The sequence below is a fragment of the Homo sapiens genome, chromosome 17 (genome assembly GCF_000001405.40).
Source record: "Homo sapiens chromosome 17, GRCh38.p14 Primary Assembly".
Classification (NCBI taxonomy): domain Eukaryota; kingdom Metazoa; phylum Chordata; class Mammalia; order Primates; family Hominidae; genus Homo; species Homo sapiens.
The window spans coordinates 82,217,243-82,241,111 of NC_000017.11; the positions used below are offsets into that span (position 1 = coordinate 82,217,243).

At 63.3% G+C, this 23,869-nt stretch overlaps 2 protein-coding genes and 1 non-coding gene across 11 annotated transcripts in view, besides 12 other annotated features; 2 read left to right on the top strand and 1 right to left on the bottom strand.

The window, feature by feature from the left end:
• The first annotated feature begins 691 nt into the window (after nt 1–691).
• On the top strand, nt 692–22,844 carry SLC16A3 (solute carrier family 16 member 3). 9 transcript variants are annotated; one of them, XM_024451023.2, is made up of 5 exons: nt 692–942; nt 18,741–18,989; nt 19,487–19,630; nt 19,896–20,651; nt 21,460–22,844. In XM_024451023.2, exons 2-5 carry the CDS (start codon nt 18,767–18,769, stop codon nt 21,732–21,734), a joined length of 1,398 nt encoding a protein of 465 aa, XP_024306791.1. In that variant the 5' UTR covers nt 692–942; nt 18,741–18,766; the 3' UTR covers nt 21,735–22,844. The 9 variants fall into 9 exon arrangements, with proteins under 9 accessions (XP_024306791.1, NP_001193879.1, NP_001035887.1 ...); NM_001206950.2 differs by lacking the exon at nt 692–942 and adding an exon at nt 11,193–11,303; NM_001042422.3 differs by lacking the exon at nt 692–942 and adding an exon at nt 11,193–11,287.
• Nucleotides 8,247–8,399: a silencer, noted in NCBI's record as "fragment chr17:80183365-80183517 (GRCh37/hg19 assembly coordinates)". NCBI's record gives its function as "represses an EF-1alpha promoter that drives an FKBP-Casp9 reporter gene in an ReSE screen in phorbol 12-myristate 13-acetate-treated (for megakaryocytic differentiation) K562 erythroleukemia cells {active_cell/tissue: K562(+PMA)}" and the evidence as "EXISTENCE:reporter gene assay evidence [ECO:0000049][PMID:32094911]".
• Nucleotides 10,856–11,085: a silencer, noted in NCBI's record as "silent region_9196". NCBI's record gives its function as "represses an Ori minimal core promoter by ATAC-STARR-seq in GM12878 lymphoblastoid cells {active_cell/tissue: GM12878}" and the evidence as "EXISTENCE:reporter gene assay evidence [ECO:0000049][PMID:35858748]".
• Nucleotides 11,176–11,255: a silencer, noted in NCBI's record as "silent region_9197". NCBI's record gives its function as "represses an Ori minimal core promoter by ATAC-STARR-seq in GM12878 lymphoblastoid cells {active_cell/tissue: GM12878}" and the evidence as "EXISTENCE:reporter gene assay evidence [ECO:0000049][PMID:35858748]".
• Nucleotides 11,306–11,445: a silencer, noted in NCBI's record as "silent region_9198". NCBI's record gives its function as "represses an Ori minimal core promoter by ATAC-STARR-seq in GM12878 lymphoblastoid cells {active_cell/tissue: GM12878}" and the evidence as "EXISTENCE:reporter gene assay evidence [ECO:0000049][PMID:35858748]".
• Nucleotides 11,606–11,925: a silencer, noted in NCBI's record as "silent region_9199". NCBI's record gives its function as "represses an Ori minimal core promoter by ATAC-STARR-seq in GM12878 lymphoblastoid cells {active_cell/tissue: GM12878}" and the evidence as "EXISTENCE:reporter gene assay evidence [ECO:0000049][PMID:35858748]".
• Nucleotides 12,046–12,205: a silencer, noted in NCBI's record as "silent region_9200". NCBI's record gives its function as "represses an Ori minimal core promoter by ATAC-STARR-seq in GM12878 lymphoblastoid cells {active_cell/tissue: GM12878}" and the evidence as "EXISTENCE:reporter gene assay evidence [ECO:0000049][PMID:35858748]".
• Nucleotides 12,216–12,265: a silencer, noted in NCBI's record as "silent region_9201". NCBI's record gives its function as "represses an Ori minimal core promoter by ATAC-STARR-seq in GM12878 lymphoblastoid cells {active_cell/tissue: GM12878}" and the evidence as "EXISTENCE:reporter gene assay evidence [ECO:0000049][PMID:35858748]".
• Nucleotides 13,726–14,365: a silencer, noted in NCBI's record as "silent region_9202". NCBI's record gives its function as "represses an Ori minimal core promoter by ATAC-STARR-seq in GM12878 lymphoblastoid cells {active_cell/tissue: GM12878}" and the evidence as "EXISTENCE:reporter gene assay evidence [ECO:0000049][PMID:35858748]".
• Nucleotides 14,596–14,865: a silencer, noted in NCBI's record as "silent region_9203". NCBI's record gives its function as "represses an Ori minimal core promoter by ATAC-STARR-seq in GM12878 lymphoblastoid cells {active_cell/tissue: GM12878}" and the evidence as "EXISTENCE:reporter gene assay evidence [ECO:0000049][PMID:35858748]".
• Nucleotides 19,003–19,192: an enhancer, noted in NCBI's record as "active region_12995". NCBI's record gives its function as "activates an Ori minimal core promoter by ATAC-STARR-seq in GM12878 lymphoblastoid cells {active_cell/tissue: GM12878}" and the evidence as "EXISTENCE:reporter gene assay evidence [ECO:0000049][PMID:35858748]".
• Nucleotides 19,426–19,486, top strand: MIR6787 (microRNA 6787). The gene has a single exon (NR_106845.1). It is a non-coding gene; the product is annotated as a microRNA 6787 (primary transcript).
• Nucleotides 20,017–20,788: an enhancer, noted in NCBI's record as "H3K27ac-H3K4me1 hESC enhancer chr17:80195135-80195906 (GRCh37/hg19 assembly coordinates)". NCBI's record gives its function as "activates a minimal SCP1, AML or CMV promoter by ChIP-STARR-seq in naive H9 embryonic stem cells {active_cell/tissue: H9 hESC(naive)}" and the evidence as "EXISTENCE:reporter gene assay evidence [ECO:0000049][PMID:30033119]".
• Nucleotides 21,559–22,329: an enhancer, noted in NCBI's record as "H3K4me1 hESC enhancer chr17:80196677-80197447 (GRCh37/hg19 assembly coordinates)". NCBI's record gives its function as "activates a minimal SCP1, AML or CMV promoter by ChIP-STARR-seq in naive H9 embryonic stem cells {active_cell/tissue: H9 hESC(naive)}" and the evidence as "EXISTENCE:reporter gene assay evidence [ECO:0000049][PMID:30033119]".
• CSNK1D (casein kinase 1 delta) overlaps nt 21,777–23,869 on the bottom strand; it is a 34,732-nt gene continuing 32,639 nt past the window's right edge. The window contains exon 9 of the mRNA NM_001363749.2: nt 21,777–22,820. Coding sequence (NP_001350678.1) covers nt 22,734–22,820 — 87 coding nt within the window. The 3' untranslated portion in view covers nt 21,777–22,733. The remainder of the gene's footprint in view (nt 22,821–23,869) is intronic.

Below are 23,869 nucleotides of genomic sequence, written 5' to 3' on the forward strand. Positions count from 1 at the left end.
GCCCCACAGCGGCCGTGACCACAGCCACTTCCTGGAGGTCAAGACCTGGAGGCAGGGCCAGTGCTGCCAGGGATCCTGGTGTGGACACGGGCAGGACCAGGGGATGCTCCCTCGAGGCTGGTGTGGAACAGGCCGTGCTGCCCAGTGGGTGGGCACCCAAGGGGGCTCCAAGCCAGGCTGTCCTCCCAAGGCCGGCTTCGTCCAGAAGGAGAGGAGCCAAGGTGCCCCGGCATCCACCTTCCTCGGCTGCCTTGTCCACTGCAGGGACAGCAGCCTGTGAGCAGGAGGTGCTTTGAGGGAGCTGGGGGGACCCTGGGGGACACACGGCATTTCCACACTGTAACCACGTCACGTAGAGACCACAAAGTCCTCCTGTCTTGGGGTAAAAGTGAGGAAACTGAGGCTGGGGAAGCTAAGGGGCTCACGTGGCCTCTGGAAGGGACGGGGCTGGACCCCGGCCGCCGACAGTGTGAAAACAGCGGTTCCTGAGCCAGTGTTGCGGCAAGGGGCAAGGGACAGGCACTGTCAGAAGCCCCATGCCCCTCCCCAACCCCCCAGGAAGTTCCACTGAGTTCTCAGTGCTGAGTCACTGGCTGCGGGGCCTGCGGTCCTGGCCGGACAGGAAGGTTGGGCAAGGCCTTGCCCTCCCCCTCAGGCGAGAGGCACAGATCCTGCCACACAGCCCGGCCCCACTCCCCAGGCCCCCGGCCCCATAGGCCTCTAGCCACAGCCTGGCTGCTGTCCTCATGTCCTTGGCTCTGGCCTGGTGAAGGCCAAGGGCACTTCAGAACCTCCCTGTGCCTCCATGTGCCAGGTTGGGGCTGGGCACGAGGCCACAGCAGGGGCTGGCAGGTGGTGACCTCTGCTCCTCGACCTGGGATGCTCCAGGTTGAGACGTAGGGTAGCTGCAGTCCCAGCAATGACAAGCTCTGGGTAACCCTGGTGAGTGGACGGCCAAGGCGAGCCCAGCCTCAGTCACTGGGGGGTGGACGGCCAAGGGGAGCCCAGCCTCGGTCACTGGGGGGGTGGACGGCCAAGGGGAGCCCAGCCTCGGTCACTGCGGGGTGGACGGCCAAGGGGAGCCCAGCCTCGGTCACTGGGGGGGTGGACGGCCAAGGGGAGCCCAGCCTCGGTCACTGGGGGGGTGGACGGCCAAGGGGAGCCCAGCCTCGGTCACTGCGGGGTGGACGGCCAAGGGGAGCCCAGCCTCGGTCACTGCGGGGTGGACGGCCAAGGCGAGCCCAGGAGGTCACTGGAGGAGGAGAAATGCAGGAAGAAGGCAGCTGTCAATAGCGCAGGGGTGCACAGAGCCCTGAAGGAGCCATGTGTAAGGTGCCGAGGGTGTGTGCAGGTGGAGCTTGGTCAGGGAGGCCGCACCAGGACCACCAAAGCAGGTGATACCTGAATGATGTTCTAGGCCAAGGAAGAGAGGACAGAGGCCCGGCCAGGGCTAGAGCATAAACCAGGCTGGTGCTGACCACGGCAGAAGGGCAGAAGGTACCCTCCGGCTGTGCGTGGAGAACGGGCAGCAGGGACGAGGGCCTGGGGCCAGGCTGGTGGCACTGGCTGTTCCCGAAGCCCGTCACTCACCTGCATCTGTTCCATCCAGGCGCTGGGGTGGGCAGGACACCAGGATGCCAATGGCTCACTGAGCCGCCGGGGGCACCGCTAGGGCTTGGGGACCACGGGACTTGCCACTGGACATGGGGGTTGAGGATAAGGGAGAGAAAGGCTGAGGCAGCCCCGTGTGAGCCCAGCAGGACTGAGGGTCTCGGAGGGTCTGGGCTCTAGGACGTTTCGGGGTTACCGTGAGAGGAAGCTCCTAAGGACCGTGAGAGTGGATGGGGCCACCCCAGGCAGGTGTGGGCAGGGAGGAGAGGAGCAGGGATGGGGCCCATACATTGGGCTCAGGAGATGCAGGGAAGCCCCCAAGCTGCAGAAGAGGAGGACACCCGGGACCAGGCAGGGCCTGGAGGCCGGGGCAGCGATGGAGCCCTGCTGGGCCTGCAGGTCTGAGGCACTTGGGGGTTGGCCTGGAGGCCTAGGGAGGGGGTGTGGGGCAGCAGCACACTTTGCTGGTGCCACCTGGGAAGGTGCCCACCCATCTCCAAGGGGCGGGGGAGGAGCTAGTCTGTGCGGTGAGGGTGACACTGTCCCAGTCACCCTCCCCTAGACAGCAGGGAAGGTCCGGTCACCCCCAGGCACTTGCAGGCCGTGGGGGCTCCCCAGGAGCCAGTGGCCGCCCGTAGGGTCTCGCAGGCCAGAGGCCTCGCTCCCTGGGCCTGCTGTGTCTCTGGAGGCCCCAGCTGGCAGGGGGACCAATGGGGCCCTTCCCCACCGCCTCCCAGGTGCCGGTGGCCGCCCCTGAGCAGGGGGTTCTGGGGCCCCTGCCTGGACTGCTCCCCCACTGCTTGGCCCCGCCTCTCAGTCTCGGACTTGGGGAGGAGCAGCCAGGCCAAAGGGTGCAAAGAGGGGGCTGGGGGGCTGCACTGAAAGGCGGGGGGTCTGCGCTGAGAAGGGTGGCTACAGGCGAGCATGGGCTGCGCTGTTCCCACCCAGCCTTGAGTTCCAGTCTTGACTCCTCTCCTTCCACACTCCAGTCCTGCCTCCATGGCAGACCCAGGGCCGACGTGGGCTCCAAGGAGGGCAGAGGAAACCCTGACCCCCCAGCCCCCAGCTCAAGAGGAGGCAGGGGTGGGACACAGGGCAGGTGGAGCAGAGAAAGGCGAAAAAACGCACTCCAGGATGCTGGACGCTCAGGGCCGGGGGGGCCCTTTCACAGCAGGTTGGGGGGGCTCTCAGGGCCACACTTTGCCCAGCCTCCAAAGGGCTGAGCCAAGAGGAGAGGGCAGTGTCCCCACCCATCCAGCCACCTGCCACCCCGATCCTGGGACAGAGTTGTCTCTGTTGGCCCAGTGTGGCCTGGACACCCTAGGCTGGGCTCCACGGCCACCCCAAAACCTTCTTGCCAAGGAAGGCTGTTCCTCCCCCAGTGCCCAGGAGAGCTGCCTCCTGCTCCATGTCTACCACTGAGGCCTCCAGCTGATGACCTCCTGGCCTGCTGAGGCTTGAATGTTGGGGCCAAGGGGCTGGGGTAGGGCTCCACTCCACCCCAGGAGTGGGAAGGGGAGACCCAGGGCAACCTCTGGCCTCACAGGCAGCCCCTGCCTGGCACACCCACTCCAGCTTAAACATGGAAGCAGGCTGATCACACTGATTTTTGTCCTTAGGAAAGTAATAGATTCCGGCCAGGCATGGTGGCTTATGCCTGCAATCCCAGCACTTTGGGAGGTGGAGGTGGGAGAATCACCTGAGCTCAGGAGTTCAAGACCAGCCTGGCCAATACAGTGAGATCCTGTCTCTATCTAAAAAAAATTTTTTTTAAGTAAATAAAAAAAGAAAGTAAAGATCTCTTCCACAAAAGTGCTGGGGCAACTGGATATCCACATGCAAAGAATAATGCTGGATCCCTATCTCACACCGTTTATAAGTATCAATGCAAAATAGATCAACAAACAAAACATAAGAGCTAATATCACAAAACTCTCAGAAGAAAGCATAATTAATTAATTAATTTAATTTATTTATTTAGTTTTAGACAGAGTCTCACTCTGTCACCCACCCAGGCTGGCATGCAGTGGCGCAATCCCAGCTCACGGCACCCTTTGCCTCCTGGGTTCAAGCAATTCTCGTGCCTCAGCTTCCCGAGTAGCTGGGATTACAAGCATGCACCACCACACCGGGCTAATTTTTGTATTTTTAGTAGAGACAGGTTTCTACTGGCCAGGCTGGTCTCAAACTCCTGGCCTCAAGTGATCTGCCCACCTCAACCTCCCAAAGTGCTGGGATTACAGGTGTGAGCCACTGTGCCTGGCCCAGATTTTTGATATGATACCAAAAACACAAGCAACATAAGAAACAAAGATACAATTTTGTGCATCAAAGGAGAGTGAAGGCAGCCCACAGAATGGGGGAAAATACAGACCATATATCTGTTAAGAGTTTAATACCCAGAACATGTAAAACTCAACAAAGGGCCGGGCACGGCAGCTCACACCTGTAATCCCAGCATTTTGGGAGGCTGAGGCAGGCGAGTCACTTCAGCTCAGGAGTTCAAAGACCAGCCTGGGCAACATGGTGAAACCCTGTCTGTACAAAAACATACAAAAACATTAGCTGGGTGTGGTGGTGGTGCTTGCCTATCGTCCCAGCTACTTGGGAGGCTGAGGCGGGGAAGACTCGTGTGAACCCGGGAGGTGAAGGCTGCAGTGAGCTGAGAACGCACCACTGCACTCCAGCCTGGGCAACAGAGTAAGACCCTGTTCCAAACATAAAAGAGAATGAAACTAAACAACAACAACAAAAAAGACAACCCAATACCAAAGAAGATACAGAATGGCCAACAGGCACATGAAAAGATACTCAACATCATTAGTCATTAGAGAAACGCAAATCCAATCCATCATGAGATACTACTTCACACCCACGAGCACGGCTTTAATGAAAAACAAACAGGGCTGGTGTGGCAGCACGGGCCTGGAGTCTCAGCCAGGCAGGAGGCGGAGGCAGGAGGATCACTTGAGCCCAGGAGTTCCTGCCTGGGCAACATAAGAAGACCCTGGTCTCTGAAAAACAAACACCTCCCAGAAAACCTCCACATAAAATAACAGGCGCTGGTGCGGATGTGGAGAAACTGGAACCCTTGAACACCCTGCTGAGAATGGAGATGGCCAAAGCCTCCGTGGAAAGCAGTGTGGTGGCTCTTCATGGACAGGAGCGTCGCCCTGGGACCCCCAACTCCGCTCCCACGTTCGTGGACAGGAGCCTCGCCCTGGGACCCCCAACTCCGCTCCCACGTTCGTGGAGAGGAGCGTCGCCCTGGGACCCCCAACTCCGCTCCCACGTTCGTGGAGAGGAGCGTCGCCCTGGGACCCCCAACTCCGCTCCCACGTTCGTGGAGACGAGCGTCGCCCTGGGACCCCCAACTCCGCTCCCACGTTCGTGGAGAGGAGCGTCGCCCTGGGACCCCCAACTCCGCTCCCACGTTCGTGGAGACGAGTGTCGCCCTGGGACCCAGCAACTCCGCTCCTACATTCACACCAAAGAGAAACGAAGACATCTGTTCACACAAATACTGGCCCAGGAATGTCCGTGGCACCACTGTTCACAACAGCCAAAAGGTGGAGATGACCCAAATGTCCATCAACAGATGAGTGAAGAAACGAAACGTGGTCCATCCACATGAGGAAACATCATTCAGCCGTAAAAAGGTATGAAGAGGCCGGGTGTGGTGGCTCATGCCTGTCATCCCAGCACTTTGGGAGGTCGAGGCAGGCGCCTCACCTGAGGTCAGGAGTTCGAGACCAGCGTGACCAACATGGTGAAACCCTGTCGCTACTAAAAATACAAAAATTAGCTGGGCGTGATGGTGCACGCCTGTAATCCAGCTACTCGGGAGGCTGAGGCAGGAGAATCACTCGAACCAGGGAGGCGGAGGTTGCAATGAGCCGAGATCAAGCTACCGCACTCCAGCCTGGGGGACAAGAGCGAGACTCCGTCTCAAAAAAAAAAAAAAAAAAAGGAATGAAGCACTGATAGACCCTCTCCCATGGACGAACATGGAAGGAAGACATGATGCTCAGTAAACACGCTGGTCACAAAGGCCACACCCTGCAGGGCTCCATTCACATGAAACATCCAGGACAGGCCAGTCCACAGACACAGACAGCAGATGGGTGGATACCGGGGAAGGGGGGGTGCTGTGGGAAGGAGGATGGGGAGCAATTACTTAATGAGTGCACGGTGTTTTTAAGGGGTGATGAAAGAGTTTTGAAACTAGACAGCTGGTGGTGGACAACAACGTGAGCACGTCCAGTGCTGCTGAGCTGCCCTCTACCGTAACCGTGTGCTACAAGAGCTCTACCTTAATTAATTAATTATTATTATTATTATTTCTGAGACGGAGTTTCGCTCTTTGTTACCCAGGCTGGAGTATAGTGTCGCGATCTCGGCTCACTGCAACCTCCGCCTCCCAGGTTCAAGCAATTTTCCTGCCTCAGTCTCCCAAGTAGTTGGGATTACCGGCATGTGCCATGACGCCTGGCTAATTTTTGTATTTTTGGTAGAGATTGGCCAGGCTGGTCACCCTATTGGCCAGGCTGGTCTTGAATTCCTGACCTCAGGTGATCTGCCCACACTGGCCTCTCAAAGTGCTGGGATTATAGGCGTGAGCCACTGCGCCTGGACTATTTATTTATTTACTTATTTATTTTTTCTTTTTGAGACAGAGTCTTGGTCTGTCACCCAGGCTGGAGTGCAGTGGTATGATCTAGGCTCACTGCAGCCTCCACCTCCTGGGTTCAAGTGATTCTCCTGCCCTCCTGCCTCAGCCTCCCGAGTAGTTGGGATTATGGGTGCATGCCACCACGTGTGGCTAATTGTTTGTATTTTTTGGTAGAAATTCGGTTTGCTGCACCCACTTTACAGAGCAAGAGACTGAGGTCCAGAGAGGTCCCCACACTTCTTTCTTTCCCCACTTGACCACATTCTTGGAATGACCGCTCAGGATCCAATGAGCATTAGTTCTGAATGTTCCAGCAGCATTGACCCTGTCTCAGTTCTGTCTCCCAGTGACAGAGCGAGAGGTCACTGAGGACATCAAGAAGACCTGGCCAGCACACGACAGCTGCTCTCATCAGACCATGCACACCTACACCCCAACACCTGTGCACAGACACCCCTACACCTGTGCAGACGCACCCCTACACCCGTGCACAGAGACACCTGTGCAGACACAACCCTACACCCGTGCAGACACACCCCCACACCCGTGCACAGACACCTGTGCAGACACACCCCTACACCCGTGCAGACACACCCCTACACCCGTGCACAGACACCTGTGCAGACACACCCCTACACCCGTGCAGACACACCCCTACACCCGTGCACAGACACCTGTGCAGACACACCCCTACACCCGTGCAGACACACCCCTACACCTGTGCAGTCACCTGTGCAGACACACCCCTACACCCGTGCAGACACACCCCTACACCTGTGCAGTCACCTGTGCAGACACACCCCTACACCTGTGCAGTCACCTGTGCAGACACACCCCTACACCCGTGCAGTCACCTGTGCAGACACACCCCTACACCCGTGCAGACACACCCCTACACCTTGCAGTCACCTGTGCAGACACACCCCTACACCCGTGCAGACACACCCCTACACCTGTGCAGTCACCTGTGCAGACACACCCCTACACCCGTGCAGTCACCTGTGCAGACACACCCCTACACCCATGCAGACACACCCCTACACCTTGCAGTCACCTGTGCAGACACACCCCTACACCCGTGCAGACACACCCCTACACCTGTGCAGTCACCTGTGCAGACACACCCCTACACCCGTGCAGTCACCTGTGCAGACACACCCCTACACCCGTGCACAGACACCTGTGCAGACACAACCCTACACCCGTGCAGACACATCCCAACATCCATGCACAGACGCACCCCAACACCTGTGCACAGACACACCCTCACGCCCGTGTACACCCCCAACCCCACATAACCGGCCCTCTCATAACCCTACACCATGCATCACACCCAAACCCCATGACCAACACCCACCACAGGCAGCAGTGTGGTGGGTCAGGCCCCACTGGGCCACGGTGCGGCTTCTCCTGCCCTTTTCACCTCTGCCCCCTACCTGGGCTGCCACTCCCTGGGAAGGACCAGCAGCCAGGTTAATATGTATTTTTCTGACTTTGGGAGGCCAGGCAGGTGAATCACAAGGTCAGGAGTTCAAGACTAGCCTGGCCAAAATGGTGAAACCCTGTCTCTACTAAAAATACAAAACATTAGCTGGGCGTAGTGGCAGGTGCCGGTAACCCCAGCTACTCAGGAGGCTGAGGCAGGAAAATCGCTTGAACTTGGGAGGCAGAGGTTGTGGTGACCCAAGAATGCACCACTACACTCCAGCCCGGTGACAGAGTGAGACTCTGTCAAAAAAAAATAATAATAATATGTATTTTTCTGTGAGCCTGGACAGGTTCTCTGGGGCGAGTGAAGGGAGGGCGCAGATTTGGGCCATGGTCCTGGTCCTGGGTCTAGGCTCTGTGTGGTGGAGGGCACCAGCCTCCCCTGGCACCGTCCTGGCTGCATCCCCCATCCAGCCTGGGCACGTCCCGCCACACGCCCCGCGTGGGTCTGGAGTCTGGGGACGGTGTGGCCACAGGTGTGGAATGACAGGCTGTGACAGTTGTGTCACCAGATCCTCTGGGCAGGGAGCTGTAAGGCAGGCAGGGTCAGGAGCTGGGCAGCCCAGGACCCCAGGGAGGCGGGGCTGTGGCTCGGCCGGAATGTCCTTCCCCGTGACTCGGCTTTCTTCCCCTGACCCGGCCAGTCCTGGCCCCAGTCCTGTCCATGGGGCGGCAACTGGTGCTGGGTGGTACGGCCAAGACTGGGTCAGGACGGGGTGGCCCTGCTGGGATCTGGAAAATGGTGTGCGGGGTTCCCAAGGACGCAGGATGTGGGCTGTGTGGCTCCCCCGACCCTGGAAGGTTCCCTGGGACCTGAGATCTGGCCCTGATAGGTCCGGGGGCCTGTTCTGCCACCCTCCCTGGGGCAGCGGCTGTGGTGACCCTTGGAGAAAAGCCTCTCCGCATTTCCTAAGTCATTTCAGGACACAGAGGTAGGGACTCTCGGGGCAGCCCATGGGGAGGAAGCAGATCCCAGCCTCCCCTTCCTGCCCGCCCCCCTCCCACAAAGGTTGCTCTTGGAAAAGGTGGGACTGCGCACCCCAGGGAGCTTAAGCCTGCCAGGGAGCAGGGTGGGAAGGACCTGGGGGCCAGGCCCCTAGGAGGACATTCCAGGGCCTGGAGGGCCCTGTAGCTGGAACTGGGAACAAAAGGAAGTTGGGGCAGCCAGGGGCAGGTGGAGGCACCTGGGTCTGGGGGAGAAGTCAAGACTGGGGGCTGTGGGGTCAGAGGGGGGCGTCCTGTGAAGCTGCTCACTGGCCAGGGATGGTGCCACCTGTCCACACCCCCACCTCCTTTCCTGCAGAAAAGGGCGGCCTGGGCCTGGGGTCTGACCCAGGGCCACTGTGGGGGAGCAAGCGTTGGAGCCAGGTGTGGGGTGGGTGCTCCCAACACCACCCAGAGTGGGGTGCAGAGATGCGGACACACGTGGCCTTTCCCACCCCTTCCCGCAGCTCCAGACCCCCAGCGGGCCAGGGGATCGCACCATGGCCAGAAGTGCCTCTCCCCTGCACCATCGCTGTCTCTGACACATCCAGGGTTGTTGAGGGAGGGGCATGACCCCCAGAAGGCATCTTACCCGAAACCAAAGTGGTATTCCGTGCCCAGGTGCCCCTGGAGCCCTGTGTCAGATGGAGCCTGGCCACCTGGGCCCTGGTGCCAGGCCTGGAATGCCCCCCGCCACCAACTGCTGGGCCTTTCTAAAAGCTGAGCACTTGGAGGTCAGGGGTACCTCATGCTACCGGAGTGCCAGAATCCTCGGAGAGGGGCCCAGGGTCTCGGAGGCTCTGGCCCCACCCCACAGCGTCCTGTTCTGTCCAGGCTCCGGGTGAGCTGTCCCAAGTGGCCTGCTTGATAGCTGCGCTGCCTGTTTCCTCTGGGTAACAACCTGGCAGGCCCCCAGCCCCAGCCCCCAGCAGCCATCACATCACTGTGACCACTCTGTGGTCTTCCAGTCCCCCCAGTCAAAGCCCACAGACTTGACCTCTCTGCTGGGAGCCAGTGCTGACTGGCCTGCCTGCTCCCCTCCCCTCTGAGGGCAGGGAGGCTCCACCCCAGCTCTGGGTGGACAGTCCTGGGGCCCACACCCAGGGGAAGCCATGCCTAAGAGGGGGCCAGGCCTGGGGGTCAGAACCAAACCACAGGTGCTCCCTGGGACCCCTGGAGGGATGACTGGGCGTCTTCCCAGCTGGGAGAAAACCTGGCCCTGGCAGGGGCGCCCCTTTGTCCTTCAGGAGGCAGGAGGGGGCAGTGAGGTCCCAGGCTCTCTGGCTCTGTCTCCCTCCCCCTGTTGCTGCTCTACGGTGGGGGTTCAGGGTTCAGGGATCAGGGCCAAGCTGTAGGCAGATGTGGAAGGTGTCTCGGTGGCTTCAGTGGGGGCCCCAAGCCCAGCTGGCAGGCCTGGTGACTCAACAATCTGGGATGGGGAGCACGGTACCCTCGCCTCCCCGGCAGGCAATACCCCATAGGGGACCCATTCCCGCAGCTGTCCACGGTGCCTCGCACCCCTCTGCTGCTCTCCCTCCTCAGAAACTGATGAATCGCCTGGTGCAGGAAGATGGGAGCACCACCTGCCCTGGGCGGGAGCACCACCTGCCCTGGGCGGGAGCACCACCTGCCCTGGGCGGGAGCACCACCTGCCCTGGGCGGGAGCACCACCTGCCCTGGGCGGGAGCAGCACGGGCCAACTAAGTAGAGTCTTCATCTGTGAAGTTGGAGGCCCCCTCACCACTTGCCACAGGCCTGTGTTCTGCTCACAGGCACGTGCCCTCATCTTGATGTTTGGGGATGGGGGTGGTTGGGCCCCAGGTAGGGGTGAGGGCCAGACCCAGCCTCTGTGAATGCCAGCGGGAGGGTGGGCTTGTAACATTACATAGAAAGAACAGGCGGCCTTACTGGACCTGATGTCCCGCAAGGCTGGGCTGCAGATGGAGAGCCAAGGCCCACACGGCCTCACTGTCAGGGGTGGCCTCCCCTTGCCCTCTGGAGGGGTCCTCCATTGATACCCCCTGCCTCCTTTGTGTGTGAAGGCACGGGCTTACCAGTGCCTCGGTCCCCGAAGCCCCCGGGTCCGGGAGGGGCCAGTTAAAGCATTCCTGTGGCCCTGGCAGGGTGGCCCTGACAACTAGACTCCTTGGTCCAGGCCAACAAAGGCCTTACTCCCTGGAGCCACCTCAAACCTCAGCACCCAAAGCGGCCCGTTATTTCCATGTTGCAAATGAGAGAAAACAGGCTGGGAGAAGCACCTCACGAGGTCCAGCGGGTGGGCAGCCCTCGCCTCCCCGAAGGTGGGAGCCGCCCCGGCCTCCGCGTCGGGTTCTGGGCCGCGAGAGGGGCGGGGCAGGGGCGCAGGGCTGGAGTCGGTGGCTTTGTAGGGCCCCGCAGGGCGCGGAGCCACCTGGGGAAACGGAAGTTCAGGGAGGGCGAGGCCGTGCCCCACATCCAGGCAGCGCAGGCCGCGGGCCGCTCCCCTAGCCAGGAAGAGCCGCCGTCCGCACCGGGACCGGAGAGGAAGCGGAGGTCTGAAGGGGGACAGGTCGGACGTGGCCTCAGAGAGGGAGGATGTGGGCCCCGGAGCTGAGCCAGGCGGCCGGAACCCCACGGGACCCGCGCGCACCTCCCCACCAAAGGGGCCCCGGCGTTGGGGGGCGAGGGGTCGCTGCCCTGGAGGACGTTGGGACCTGCCGCGCTGCGCTCCGAGGCGGGGAAACGGAGGGACGGCGGGGCGGAGGGGCGAAGCGAGCCTGGACTCCGGGGGAGGCGAGGCCGGGAAGACCCAGTCCCGAGGAGCAGAGGGGGCGGGCCAGCTCCGGGCCGGGGGCGCCGACGGGGCCGGTTCCGGTTGGGGGGGTCCCTGGGCCCGGCGGGGTTGCGGGACGCGCCGTCGGGGAGCTGCGGCCCGGGAGCCCGTCCGGAGGCGGCGCGGGGTCCGGGCGGGGCGCGCAGGGGCGGCGCCAGGCGGTGACGTGCGCGGGGGACGTGCCGCGCCAGCGACCCGAGCACTTAAAGTCGCCCCCGGCGCGGAGCGGACCGGCAGAGGCGGGCAGAGGCGGCGAGAGGCGGCGAGAGGCGGGCTGAGGCGGCCCAGCGGCGGCAGGTAGGCGCGGCCGCGATGCTCGCGCGCGGGCCGGGGCCCAGGAGCTCCCCCGTGCCGGGCAAGGGGGCGACCTCGGGGTCCGCGCTCTCACCCCCACCCCGCCCACTTTGTCCATCAGGTCCGGGGGCGCCCGGGGCATGGACTAGCCTTCTCGACCCCGAGCGGGCCCCACCGAGGGCTCCCGAGAGCCAGCCGCGCCCCTCCGCGCCCTCGCATACCTGGCTGCCCAGTCTCGTCTCCCCCGGTCCGGCCCGGCGCCCACCCGTCGGGCTGCCCTCAGGGGCTGGGCTCGGGCCAGGAGATGGCTGCGCCGGCGGCCAAGCCCGGTCCGGGTATAAATAGCTCGGTCCGCGGTGGCGGGGGGCGCGGGCTATATTTGGTGGGGCTGCTGCAGCCCTCCCTGTATGGGTGGCCTCCCCGAGGGAGTGGGGAGCACTTGCGCTCGGGCCGTGGCGCTTTCCCCTGTTCGCAACACCCTGAACACTCCCCGACCCACACCCGCCCTTGGGCAATGACTAACAGCCCGAGACCGTGCAGGGAAGTGGGGGACCCTCTCCAGAGCCAGGCTGGGCTCCCTGGGTTCGCCCTACCTCCACCCCTGGCCCCCAGCTCGTGGGAAAACCAGGCGCAGCCTTTGGTAGCCTCCCACTTCCTAACCCACGCCTCAGTTTCCCTATACGAAAAGTGGGTTGGTCAGGAGCCTCCCTGGGTGTTGGGCCAGTCAAGAGACAGGAGCCGCAGAGTGGAAGGGAAGCCCTTAGCTCTGGCCGGGGCCTCCAGGGGTGGCTGGAGTCGGTGAGGGACGATGGGGGGAGCCGAGGGGCGGCTGTCCTCCTCTCTGTCCCAGAGGCATGGGCTGAAAGGGTCCCTCTCCTGGTGATGGCCAGAGTCAGGCCTGCTGGGCGGGAAATGGCAGTTGGCCCACCCCAAGGCCCAGGGGCTTGTCCATGCTGAGCACAAGGGTGGGAGGTCTTGTGTCTGTTGGGGCCGGGGAGTCCAAGGTCCCAGCTTCACTGCACAGGCCTGGAAGTCAGGTGGGTGCTGGCCTGACCCTGCTGAAGGAGGGTCTATTCCGCCAGCGTGGTGTGGAGGCGGCTGGGCTCGACTCCCTCATGGAGGGAAGGAACTGAGGAGGTGCTAGGAGGCCGTGGGGGGGTGTCTGCCCCCAGAGAGGCTTTGAGTGCATGGGGGCTCTGCCGTGGCACGTGCAGCGTCTGTCCCCCAGGGCCCCATGGTGTGGACAGAGTCTGGGGTGGGCACCTGGAGGCCTGGTCTCAAGGCAGGCTTGGTAACGACCCCATGTGACCTTGGGCAGGGCCCGCCATCCAGGCCACCCAGAAAGCCATGTGGCCTGCACGATCAGGCCAGACCCCACTGACTGGAGCGGGGCACTTTACTTTGGAGGGGCAGCTACCAGAGGGCTCTATGGATCCCAGCCCAGCCGTCAGGCCGGACGGGTCCCCCCTACTGGCCTGCAGTGACCCTTATGCCAGGCTCGGCTGGCTCAGCGGTGGGTCCTGGGGTGACCTGGCCACGTGGGACAGAAGGGCCTGTGCCGCTCCCTCCAGTGAGGTGCCAAATGTGGGCCACACTCTGGGCCCCAGCGGGGGCCTTCCGGGCAGTGGCGCAGAGCCATTGGAGGTGCCCGGGCCCTGGGGCAGGGGCGGGGCGGGAGCAGACAGAGCTCAGGGCGTCCTCCTAGCGTCACCTGCCCGAGTCAGGCCCATCTGTGAAATGGGCCACGCCGGGCAGCCGCACGCAACGGAACCGAACCGCCGGGCTCCTGCTCCGAGACCCGCAGTTCACGAGTCGACGCCCCCGAGTCCCGAGCCGCGCCCACTGGTCCCACCTCTGCAGCAAGTGGAGTCGGCCCCGCCCTGTGGCTTCGAGGCCCCGACGCCTGGCGCGGCTCCCGGGCTCCGCTGACCCCGGTGGACCCGCGCGCCGGCAATTACGGTAGCGTCCAGTAGGGCGCCTACTGCGGGCAATACGGGGGCTCCTCCCATGGCGCGGTCACGTCCCCCACGTCCCGCGGCTGGCGGGGCGGGGCCGGGCGGAGCATCCTTCCCTCCCCCTCCCCCGGGTGGGCCCCGCCCAGCCTCGACCACCCGCGCCGACCCCCGCCCGCAGAGCCGGGAAGCCGGAACCCGCAGGCGCCCTCCAGCCGTCCCTCCGGCCCGGGCGGGGATTGCGCCGAGGAGGGGCCTCTCCTGGCGAGGGTGGAGTTTTGGGTTCCCCCCTTCGCCCCGCACCTCCCGCCTTCCTGCCTCCTCCCGGTCTTCACCTTCCCCCCCGGGTCCCCACGACGCCCGCTGGGCGGCGGTGGGGTAGGGGGCGCCTCCTGACCCGACTCCCCTTCCAGCCTTGGCCTTCAGGCACTGGCTTTAGGGTGGAGGGGCGGCCTTGCGGGGTCCAGGAGGCCTCGGAGGTGGGGGACGGCGGCTCTGGACCAGCTCCGGCCCCCACCACCTCCCGGCCCCAGGGCGGTGACAGCCTTGCGGAGAAGGGGTCTTCAAAGCTCTGAGACCCCGCAGTGCCAGCTCAGGATTGAAGCCTGCGGCGGCACATGCAGCCTTCCTTTCCCAAAGGGGACTTGCGCCCAGCCCCACTTGGGGCACCAGTGGGGGCTCCTGGCCCTGGCCCTGGGTGGGAGTGGCCAATCCGCAAATGAGGCCTGTGTGTCTGCCCCGCCGGCCCCTGCCGTCGTGATGTAAGCGGACACAGAGCGGCAGGGCACGGGCTGCGCGAGGGGTCTGCGGGGGTCAGAGGTGGGGCGCAGGGCCCAGGCCTGGGGCAGCCCCTTGCGCAGCGTCCACCCCCTGCAAGCTCGGCCCCGACACCTTTGCAGGCGCCTGGGGCGGGGCTGCCGGGAGTTGCTCACTGCTCCTTCCTTGTTTGCACAACAGGGGCTGCGGGGGAAGAAGGGAACTGAGGGAGGCCCCTCCCCCGGTGCAGCGCCCTCCCGCCCTCGGCACCCCTCGGCAGCCAGGCGCTGGCCACAGAGGCCGCTTCCTTGGTCCTCAGGCAGCTCATGGGATCCAGGAAGGAAACGAATTACCCTTTTCCTGCCCCGCCTCCTGCCTGGGCCACAAAGGCAGGGCCAAAGCCCATCCTTCAAGGGCTGGAGTCAGTTAGGTAACAGGCCACGGGCCCCGGGCTCAGGCCACTGCACGGACCCAGGGAACGGGCTGACAGTCCAGCAGAGGCCTCAGCGAGGCGGCGGCGCTGCGCACAAACCTGAGGACCTAGGCGGGTGAGGGGTCTGCAGGTCCAGACGCCTGAGGGGAAGCATGCCAGGGTGCCCAGTGCCCCCCAAGGTGGTGGGCGAGGTTTCTGGAGAGGTCCCGGAGGAGCGGGCTTGGGCAGCAGGGGTCAGGTTCAGGACCCTCTGTGCATGAGTCCAGGTTGACTCTGCAGGACGGCATTTCGAGCCACCTGGCATGGCGTTCCAGGCCTGTGACGGGGCAGTGCAGGGGTCCGAACTGGCAGGCACCCAGGTCCTGAGGACTTCATGGTCGAATCCTGGTCTAAAGCCAGGGGTCCTTGCAGAGCCCTGCGCCCTGCACCCTCGAGGGAACTGCCTGCAGGAGCCCCTGGCTTGGGAGGGCGCATGGCTGTGGGACGCAGGGTCTCCTGCAAGGGACTTTCCCACCCACCCCTGCCCCAGGCCTCCCGCTCAGCTTCCAGCAGCCTGGGGTCGTAGAGCCTTTGGGGGACCTGCTCTCCGGGCAGCCCCCACCTGGGAGATCAGCTTTCTCATCCCAGAGGCCAGGTTATTTCTGGGTGGGTTGGCATGCTTCCTGGGGGGCGGCGGGGGGGGGGTTGGTAAATGTCAGGGGAAGGCCAGCCTGTGGCGTGTGCCCACGGAGAGGCCAATGCTTGGTGGCTGTGGCGTGTGCTCCAGGCAGGACAGCCCCAGGGTTGTCCCTGGAACACCGGGCAGTCTGTACCTTGGCCCATCACGGTGCCGGGGTTATCCTGGAAGATGGGGAGTGTGGGCCATTATTTTGTGCCCCTTCCCCGTACTCTACCTCCTGTGGAATCCCTTGCCCCAAGCCATGTGGGCAGACAGCTGGCTCCAAGTCAGCCCCTGGACACCAGGCTGGAGTGGGAACTCCTGGAGCCATTTCAGCATGGCTGGCACCACAGGCTGGGTGAGGACAGACGATGGTGCCAGGTTGTGGTCTGGGGGCTTGTCCAAATGCCTCATCTTGACACAGAAGATGGCCCTCCCCACATGAGCGTCACGTGGAAGCCACAAGCACCTCAGGTCTCAGAACATGCTGTGCTCTCCTGGTCAGTGAGTCCTGGCACTGCCCCAACCCTCTGCCAGCCCTCCTTGACACTAATTCAGGGGCGCCGCGTCTCCTGAGGGTGGCCACTGTCCCCTGCCTCCCCACACGCCCTCGTCTGTCTCCTGAGGACCCTGGCGGGCTTCAAACCCTGGGTCTGCCTGCGTCTCCCACCCCCGCTGGTGCAGCCAGGGAGACTCAGAGGCCTTGGTACCTCTTTGTGTTTTGCAGGGGGAACCTGGGGTATGCAAAATGTGTCTATTCCTGTTTGTTGTATACACATTTCCTTCCTTGGCCTTGCATGGCCTGTTTATTTTTAAAAGTGCAAACTTGCAACCCCAAACAAGCTGGGGCCCTGAGGCCGTCAACCCCTCCAGTCTCCCCTGTGACCCGCAGTCTGCGTCCTGTTCCCAGTTTCATTCCTCAAGTGCATATATTTTTATTTTTTTATTTTTTTTTTGAGACAGAGTCTCGCTCTGTGGCCCAGGTTGGAGCGCAGTCGCGCGATCTCGGCTCACTGCAAGCTCTGCCTCCTGGGTTCACGCCATTCTCCTGCCTCAGCCTCCCGAGTAGCTGGGACTACAGGCGCCTGCCACTGCGCCCAGCTAATTTTTTTTATTTTTAGTAGAGACGGGGTTTCACCGTGTTAGCCAGGATGGTCTCGATCTCCTGACCTCGTGATCCGCCCGCCTTGGCCCCCCAAAGTGCTGGGATTACAGGCGTGAGCCACCGCGCCCGGCCTCAGTGCATATATTTTTAATATCTTGTAGTTACCCTGCTGTATACTGTCATCTTAGGGACCTTTTAAACAATACCAGTATGAGCGGGACCTACCCTGCTGCTCAGTGACCCCAGGCAGTGTGTCCTAAGGTGGTGTGTCCTGAGGCGTGCGACACTCTGTCCTGTCCCAGGCACTGTGGTGGGGGCATCCGGTGTCCAGGTGCAGAGGCAAAAGCTGCTCCCGGGTTTCCCAGAAATGGTTCCGAGGCCTGGGTCCCAGAGAGCCAGTGCAGGTTGGGGGGTGGACCTCTGGCTCTGTGGGGGGGTCTGTTCTGCTCCAGTGGGCCGTGTCTGCCTTGTCATCATCCAGACAGCCACAGCTGGCTCCTGGGTCCCCTCGTCAAGCAGCATTTCCCAGTAACAGTGACTTCGTGGAACACTTAGGAAGCCCTTAAAAACCATCCTCGGACCTCTGAGGCAGGGACTCCAGGGGGCACAGCACCTGTGGTGGGGACAGGCAGGCAGGCTGGATGCGGGGAGGGCCCGGGAGGAGGAGTGAGGAGCCACGCACGGAACTGCTCAGACTCTCCCAGCAAAGGTCCTGGCCCTTGTGCATGCCTTTAGTTACATGTCTGCCTTAGAGGCAAAGACGAGCCGTCACGGGGGACCCACCGGGTCAGGGGTCTGCGGACACGCTTGCAGGAGGAACCCAAGGAAAGGGGGTGGGGGTGGAGCCCCACAGATTGCGTCGTGGGTGGGCGTGGAGCTTGCACAGCAGGCCTGCTGCTGCCTCCCAGGGCGCTGGTTCACAGCACGGTCCCAGCAGGGAGAGGCTGAGCCGGTTGGACTAGACCACCCAAGGTCTCAGGTTGCAGCTCCCTGGTGAGGAGAGGACAAGGTGACTTCTGGGTGGGGTGGGGCATGAAGATGGAAGTCTGACCTCGGGTTCCAACTTGACTCAAACGAGCTGAGCTCCTGGAGTTTAGAAAGGGACACCAGCTTCAGACATCGTGGGGGCTGGCATGGTTTGCTCTCGTGGGCTGGATGGGAGCCTCCCTAGCCCCTCCTGATTTCAGGCTGCAGCCTATGGGTCACTCCAGGCACAGGTGGGGTGAGTCAAGATCTCACTGGAGGAGTCACTGAGCAAGAGGGCCGGTGGGAGGCAAGGGGGCATCCAGGGACAAGGGGCCAGCTCTGCCCCCACTTCCCCACCCCACCCACTCTAATACTGCAGCCCCTGTGCTTCCAACTGCCCCCTCCAGCCTGGGGCCCAGCCCCTCACCGCCAGAGACTGCCCGCCTCCTCTTGGGCAAGCTCCTGGTGGGCTCCACTGAAGCCAAAGTGGGCCCTTGGGGGCAGGAGAGCCAGAGCAAGGCACGCTCCACCTAGATTTAGACCGGGAGAGACCTGGAGGATGCCAACCCCAGAGGTCCTGGGGCGAGCTCAGTGCTGGGGACCGGAGGTGCCGTCTGCTGCCAGAATCATGGTGTGCGTGGTCCCTGCCCAGCACGGGTCAGCCAGAGCGAGCCAGGGCAGAAATGACGGCCAGGTCGATGTTCCTGTCGGGGGCTGCTTGTCCCAGGAGGTAATCTGAGTCCTGGCCGAGCCCAAAAAAGCCACTGCCCTTTAGAGCCAGCTGTGAGGGTGCAGGAGGCAGTGCAGAGGGAGTGGGACCCACAGCTGCTAGCCTCCCTCCAAACCCTCCTGCCTCCACCAGACACCAGGTCAGGGGGCCACAAGTGTGGGTGCCGGGCAGCTGCCCCTCAGCTGAGCTGCCGGGCCACCCAGCTCGTGTCCCTCCCCTGCCAGGCTGCAGCTGGGATGGTCACCCGGGCAGCCTGAGTCAGCCTGCTTTCTCTCTCAGGTGAGGCGGAACCAACCCTCCTGGCCATGGGAGGGGCCGTGGTGGACGAGGGCCCCACAGGCGTCAAGGCCCCTGACGGCGGCTGGGGCTGGGCCGTGCTCTTCGGCTGTTTCGTCATCACTGGCTTCTCCTACGCCTTCCCCAAGGCCGTCAGTGTCTTCTTCAAGGAGCTCATACAGGAGTTTGGGATCGGCTACAGCGACACAGCCTGGATCTCCTCCATCCTGCTGGCCATGCTCTACGGGACAGGTGAGGGTGGCCTCACACCGGGCCCCCTGTCCGGGGCTCTGCTGGCGGATCCTGCTGGGCGCGTGTAGCTGGGCTCAGCAACAGGGCCTTCCGCCTGCTCCCCAGGGAACCCTGGAGGGAAGCCCTTGGGGCCAGGATCCTGCTGGGCAGCAACATGCTCTCCACGGGGCCAACCCAGGCAGGGCGCGAAGTCCATCCTGGCCCCTGTCCAAACGGGTCGGCTGTATTTATAGACCGTCTCAGAGGACAGGCTCCTGAGAGCCGTTCCTGAAAAGGTGGCTGTTCCTGAGCTGCAGGGACCCAAGGGGCCCAGCAGGCGGCGCTCACGTGTCATCATGGCCTGCGCTCGGGGAGCCTGCCCACGGGGTGCCCCTGGTGCCCCGCGGGGGGAGGGGTGGTGTGGGAAGGGGAGGCCGGCTCCAGGCTGTGAGCTCAGTCGGCTGGCGGGGGTAGAGCTGGCTGCAGGCCCGGCCCCTCTCAGCTGCTGCCCTCTCCAGGTCCGCTCTGCAGTGTGTGCGTGAACCGCTTTGGCTGCCGGCCCGTCATGCTTGTGGGGGGTCTCTTTGCGTCGCTGGGCATGGTGGCTGCGTCCTTTTGCCGGAGCATCATCCAGGTCTACCTCACCACTGGGGTCATCACGGGTGAGTGGGGCCGGCCGGTGGGCCGCACGTGCCAGGAGGGGCAGGGGCCGTGCACTTCTGCTCCTGGGTCCAGGCCTCTGGAGGACAGCAGGGCGGGTGGCTGCGGGGTGTCCCGGCCCCACCTCGTTGTCCCCCTCTCGAGTGGGTGGGTGGCAGGGGCTCTGCACCCTGGGAGCCTGAGCCTGTGGGAACCTGGGGGCAGAGATGAGGGTCTCGGGCTTTGGGGCAGCCTTGGGGGGCTCTCACCACATTCCCTTTCCTCCAGGGTTGGGTTTGGCACTCAACTTCCAGCCCTCGCTCATCATGCTGAACCGCTACTTCAGCAAGCGGCGCCCCATGGCCAACGGGCTGGCGGCAGCAGGTAGCCCTGTCTTCCTGTGTGCCCTGAGCCCGCTGGGGCAGCTGCTGCAGGACCGCTACGGCTGGCGGGGCGGCTTCCTCATCCTGGGCGGCCTGCTGCTCAACTGCTGCGTGTGTGCCGCACTCATGAGGCCCCTGGTGGTCACGGCCCAGCCGGGCTCGGGGCCGCCGCGACCCTCCCGGCGCCTGCTAGACCTGAGCGTCTTCCGGGACCGCGGCTTTGTGCTTTACGCCGTGGCCGCCTCGGTCATGGTGCTGGGGCTCTTCGTCCCGCCCGTGTTCGTGGTGAGCTACGCCAAGGACCTGGGCGTGCCCGACACCAAGGCCGCCTTCCTGCTCACCATCCTGGGCTTCATTGACATCTTCGCGCGGCCGGCCGCGGGCTTCGTGGCGGGGCTTGGGAAGGTGCGGCCCTACTCCGTCTACCTCTTCAGCTTCTCCATGTTCTTCAACGGCCTCGCGGACCTGGCGGGTTCTACGGCGGGCGACTACGGCGGCCTCGTGGTCTTCTGCATCTTCTTTGGCATCTCCTACGGCATGGTGGGGGCCCTGCAGTTCGAGGTGCTCATGGCCATCGTGGGCACCCACAAGTTCTCCAGTGCCATTGGCCTGGTGCTGCTGATGGAGGCGGTGGCCGTGCTCGTCGGGCCCCCTTCGGGAGGTGAGCGCTGCGCCCCCAGGCAGTTCCCCACACCTGCCCTTCCCGTCAGACGCCCGCTTTGCGAGGGGGGGGACGCGCACCCCTCGGCAGCCACCCGCAGTGTGGGACTCAGAGCTGGAGGGGGTGCACTGTGCTGGACCAACCCTGATTCTGCTGGGGCTAGCGGGTCTCCATTAGGAGTGGGGTGCTCCGTCCGGCACAGTGTGTCCAGACAGGCAGGGTGGCTAGGGGCTGGGCCCGGGGGGGGGCAGCTCCTCCAGGCTCTGCCTGGGCACCACGCGGCAGCTCCAGGCAACCCAACAGCCGGCTTTTGCATTTTGGGGCCTCTCCTTTTTGAAGGATGACTGAGCTAACACGTGAGGGAAATTAAGTTCTGACTGGAGCAGCCTTGCCCAGGCTCCGCCTGCCTGGCGAGGGGGTCCTGGGCTTGGGGAGGGCTCATGTCTTGGAGTCCGCGGTGGCCAGGGCACAGGGCTGGTACTGAACACAGTAGGGCTTCTGGGGCTGCCGACTGGAAGCCTCAGGGGGACTCCGTGGGGACCAGCGTGACTCCTGCCACCAACCGAAACCCAAACTCCACAAAGCCATTGCTATTTTTAGCCTCTTAAGTCTTGGTTCCCCTGAGGAGGAGGGAGGATGCCCCCAGCTGAAACACATGGAGGGGAGAGAACACCTCCCAGCCCCACAAGCTCAGAGGCAGACAGGGTGACCCTTGCGTGCTGAGACACCGAGACACAGGCTTGGGTGGAGCCGTGGGCCCTGGGGGCAGCCCGCATGAGCGGCTGGGACTGACGGGGTCTTCCCGCAGGCAAACTCCTGGATGCGACCCACGTCTACATGTACGTGTTCATCCTGGCGGGGGCCGAGGTGCTCACCTCCTCCCTGATTTTGCTGCTGGGCAACTTCTTCTGCATTAGGAAGAAGCCCAAAGAGCCACAGCCTGAGGTGGCGGCCGCGGAGGAGGAGAAGCTCCACAAGCCTCCTGCAGACTCGGGGGTGGACTTGCGGGAGGTGGAGCATTTCCTGAAGGCTGAGCCTGAGAAAAACGGGGAGGTGGTTCACACCCCGGAAACAAGTGTCTGAGTGGCTGGGCGGGGCCGGCAGGCACAGGGAGGAGGTACAGAAGCCGGCAACGCTTGCTATTTATTTTACAAACTGGACTGGCTCAGGCAGGGCCACGGCTGGGCTCCAGCTGCCGGCCCAGCGGATCGTCGCCCGATCAGTGTTTTGAGGGGGAAGGTGGCGGGGTGGGAACCGTGTCATTCCAGAGTGGATCTGCGGTGAAGCCAAGCCGCAAGGTTACAAGGCATCCTCACCAGGGGCCCCGCCTGCTGCTCCCAGGTGGCCTGCGGCCACTGCTATGCTCAAGGACCTGGAAACCCATGCTTCGAGACAACGTGACTTTAATGGGAGGGTGGGTGGGCCGCAGACAGGCTGGCAGGGCAGGTGCTGCGTGGGGCCCTCTCCAGCCCGTCCTACCCTGGGCTCACATGGGGCCTGTGCCCACCCCTCTTGAGTGTCTTGGGGACAGCTCTTTCCACCCCTGGAAGATGGAAATAAACCTGCGTGTGGGTGGAGTGTTAGGACCAACGGTTTCCTAGGAGTATGTGGTTTTGCTGTGTGGCCTGTGTCCTGACTCGCACGTCTGCTGATGGCCTGGCTGTTCCTACCGTGGCTCTGTCCTCGCCAGCTTTCCCTGCAGCGGCATAGCATTCGTAGCAGGGGCAGGCGCTGCATGGAGGGGGCTGCGGGGCAGGTGCCTGGAGGCCGCTGTGCCAGGGTGGCCTCTGAAATGTGCCAGGGAGCCCCTACGTGGTGGTTAGATGGGAGCTGAGGTGGAACAAGCCACTTTATTCACTGCTGTGTTTAAGAAACAGGACCCTCCTGCCTTCCCTTTTTCGCCCCTCTGCCTGGCTGGCAGTGTGCGTGGTGTGGTCAGTGCCCAGGGCTGGTCTTTGCACCCTGTCCTCCATCCAGCCCGGCCCAGCGCTTGGGCTTGTCCTGGACACCTAACACCCACCTGCCCTCGTGGCCAGCAGTGGCCTGCGTGGCTGGGAGCCCGGTCAGAGGCCGCCGGGGCCCTCAGTAGGTGCGTCGTGGGCGCTGGGGACGGCAGCGGGTGCCCTGGCGGGCCGCGTGCAGCCGGAGAGATGCCATGTCCCTGCTCCTCTGCAATGAAAAGCAAGCGAAAAGTGCACATCTCAGGTCCAGCTGTCCCCATCTGCCCCTGGCCTTGCGCCAGCTGGGCTTGAGCTCTTGCAGCCCAGGCTCCTGCCTGCAGCCTCAGGGCTGTGGAGGCCTCTAGCAGGGCTCAGGCTGGCGGGCAGTGCCAGCAGTTGCAGGGATCAAGGTCAGACTCTGCACAGCTAGGCCCATGTGTCTCGGCAGAGTCCACCAGTCCCACCCAGCAGCTGAAGGGAGAAAGACGAGGAGGCAGGGAGCAGACGAGGAGGTGGGGAGCAGGCAGCCCGGGCCTCAGAGGACACATGGCCTTCCCCCGCTGGCACCCCCACATCAGGGCCACCAGGGGACTGCTCACACCCAGGGGTTGCCGCCTCTGGACCTGGCTGTCCCTGGTTCTGCTGACCTCAGGAGTGACCTGGGCTTACAGAGGTACTGGCAGGGAGGTCATGGGCCGGGTGAGGGGTGCTCGCTCCTGGAACCCTGTTTCCAGGTATCTCGGGCCCTCACCCTCCCCTAGGCAGGAAGCAGTCTCTCTAGCTCAACTGTCACCCCTCGTCTGCCCCACTCTGGTCCCCACACCCACAGCACACAGCAGAGGCTCAACACAAAGTAGCCAGGCAGTGCTGCTCCCGGACAGACATGCCTGAGGGACCGTGCTCAGTGATTCAGGAGTGGTCCAGATGTGGGAAGGCAGCCACGCTTGGTTGGGGGCACAGGACGTGTGGGGGCTGGGGTCCCTGTGCCGCAGGGTGGGCGTGAGTGGGCGCTGAGTTCTACTACCTCCTCCCTCAGCTGGTGCCTTTAAAGGAGGGAAGCCATGGGGCAGTGGGTCTGCTCTGACCCGACAGGCAGGAGTGAAGGGGAAGGGAAGGGAAGCCCGGAGCCCACTGGGAAGAAGCTGGGGGCAGAGGTCTGGTGCGTGGGCTGCAGAGCTATCCCCCAACCCCGGCGACAGATTCTAGTGCCAAAAGTGGTTCAGGTCTACCGTGTTGTGAAGATCCCCTGACCAGAGACACGTCCGTCCAGAACCCACT

Excerpts from the sequence above, each read along its gene's own strand:
- SLC16A3 (XM_024451023.2), top strand. The coding sequence starts at position 18,767 with ATGGGAGGGGCCGTGGTGGACGAGGGCCCCACAGGCGTCAAGGCCCCT. Across the intron at positions 19,631-19,895 it reads CACCACTGGGGTCATCACGG|GGTTGGGTTTGGCACTCAAC; the intron begins GTGAGTGGGGCC and ends CCTTTCCTCCAG. Across the intron at positions 20,652-21,459 it reads CGTCGGGCCCCCTTCGGGAG|GCAAACTCCTGGATGCGACC; the intron begins GTGAGCGCTGCG and ends GTCTTCCCGCAG.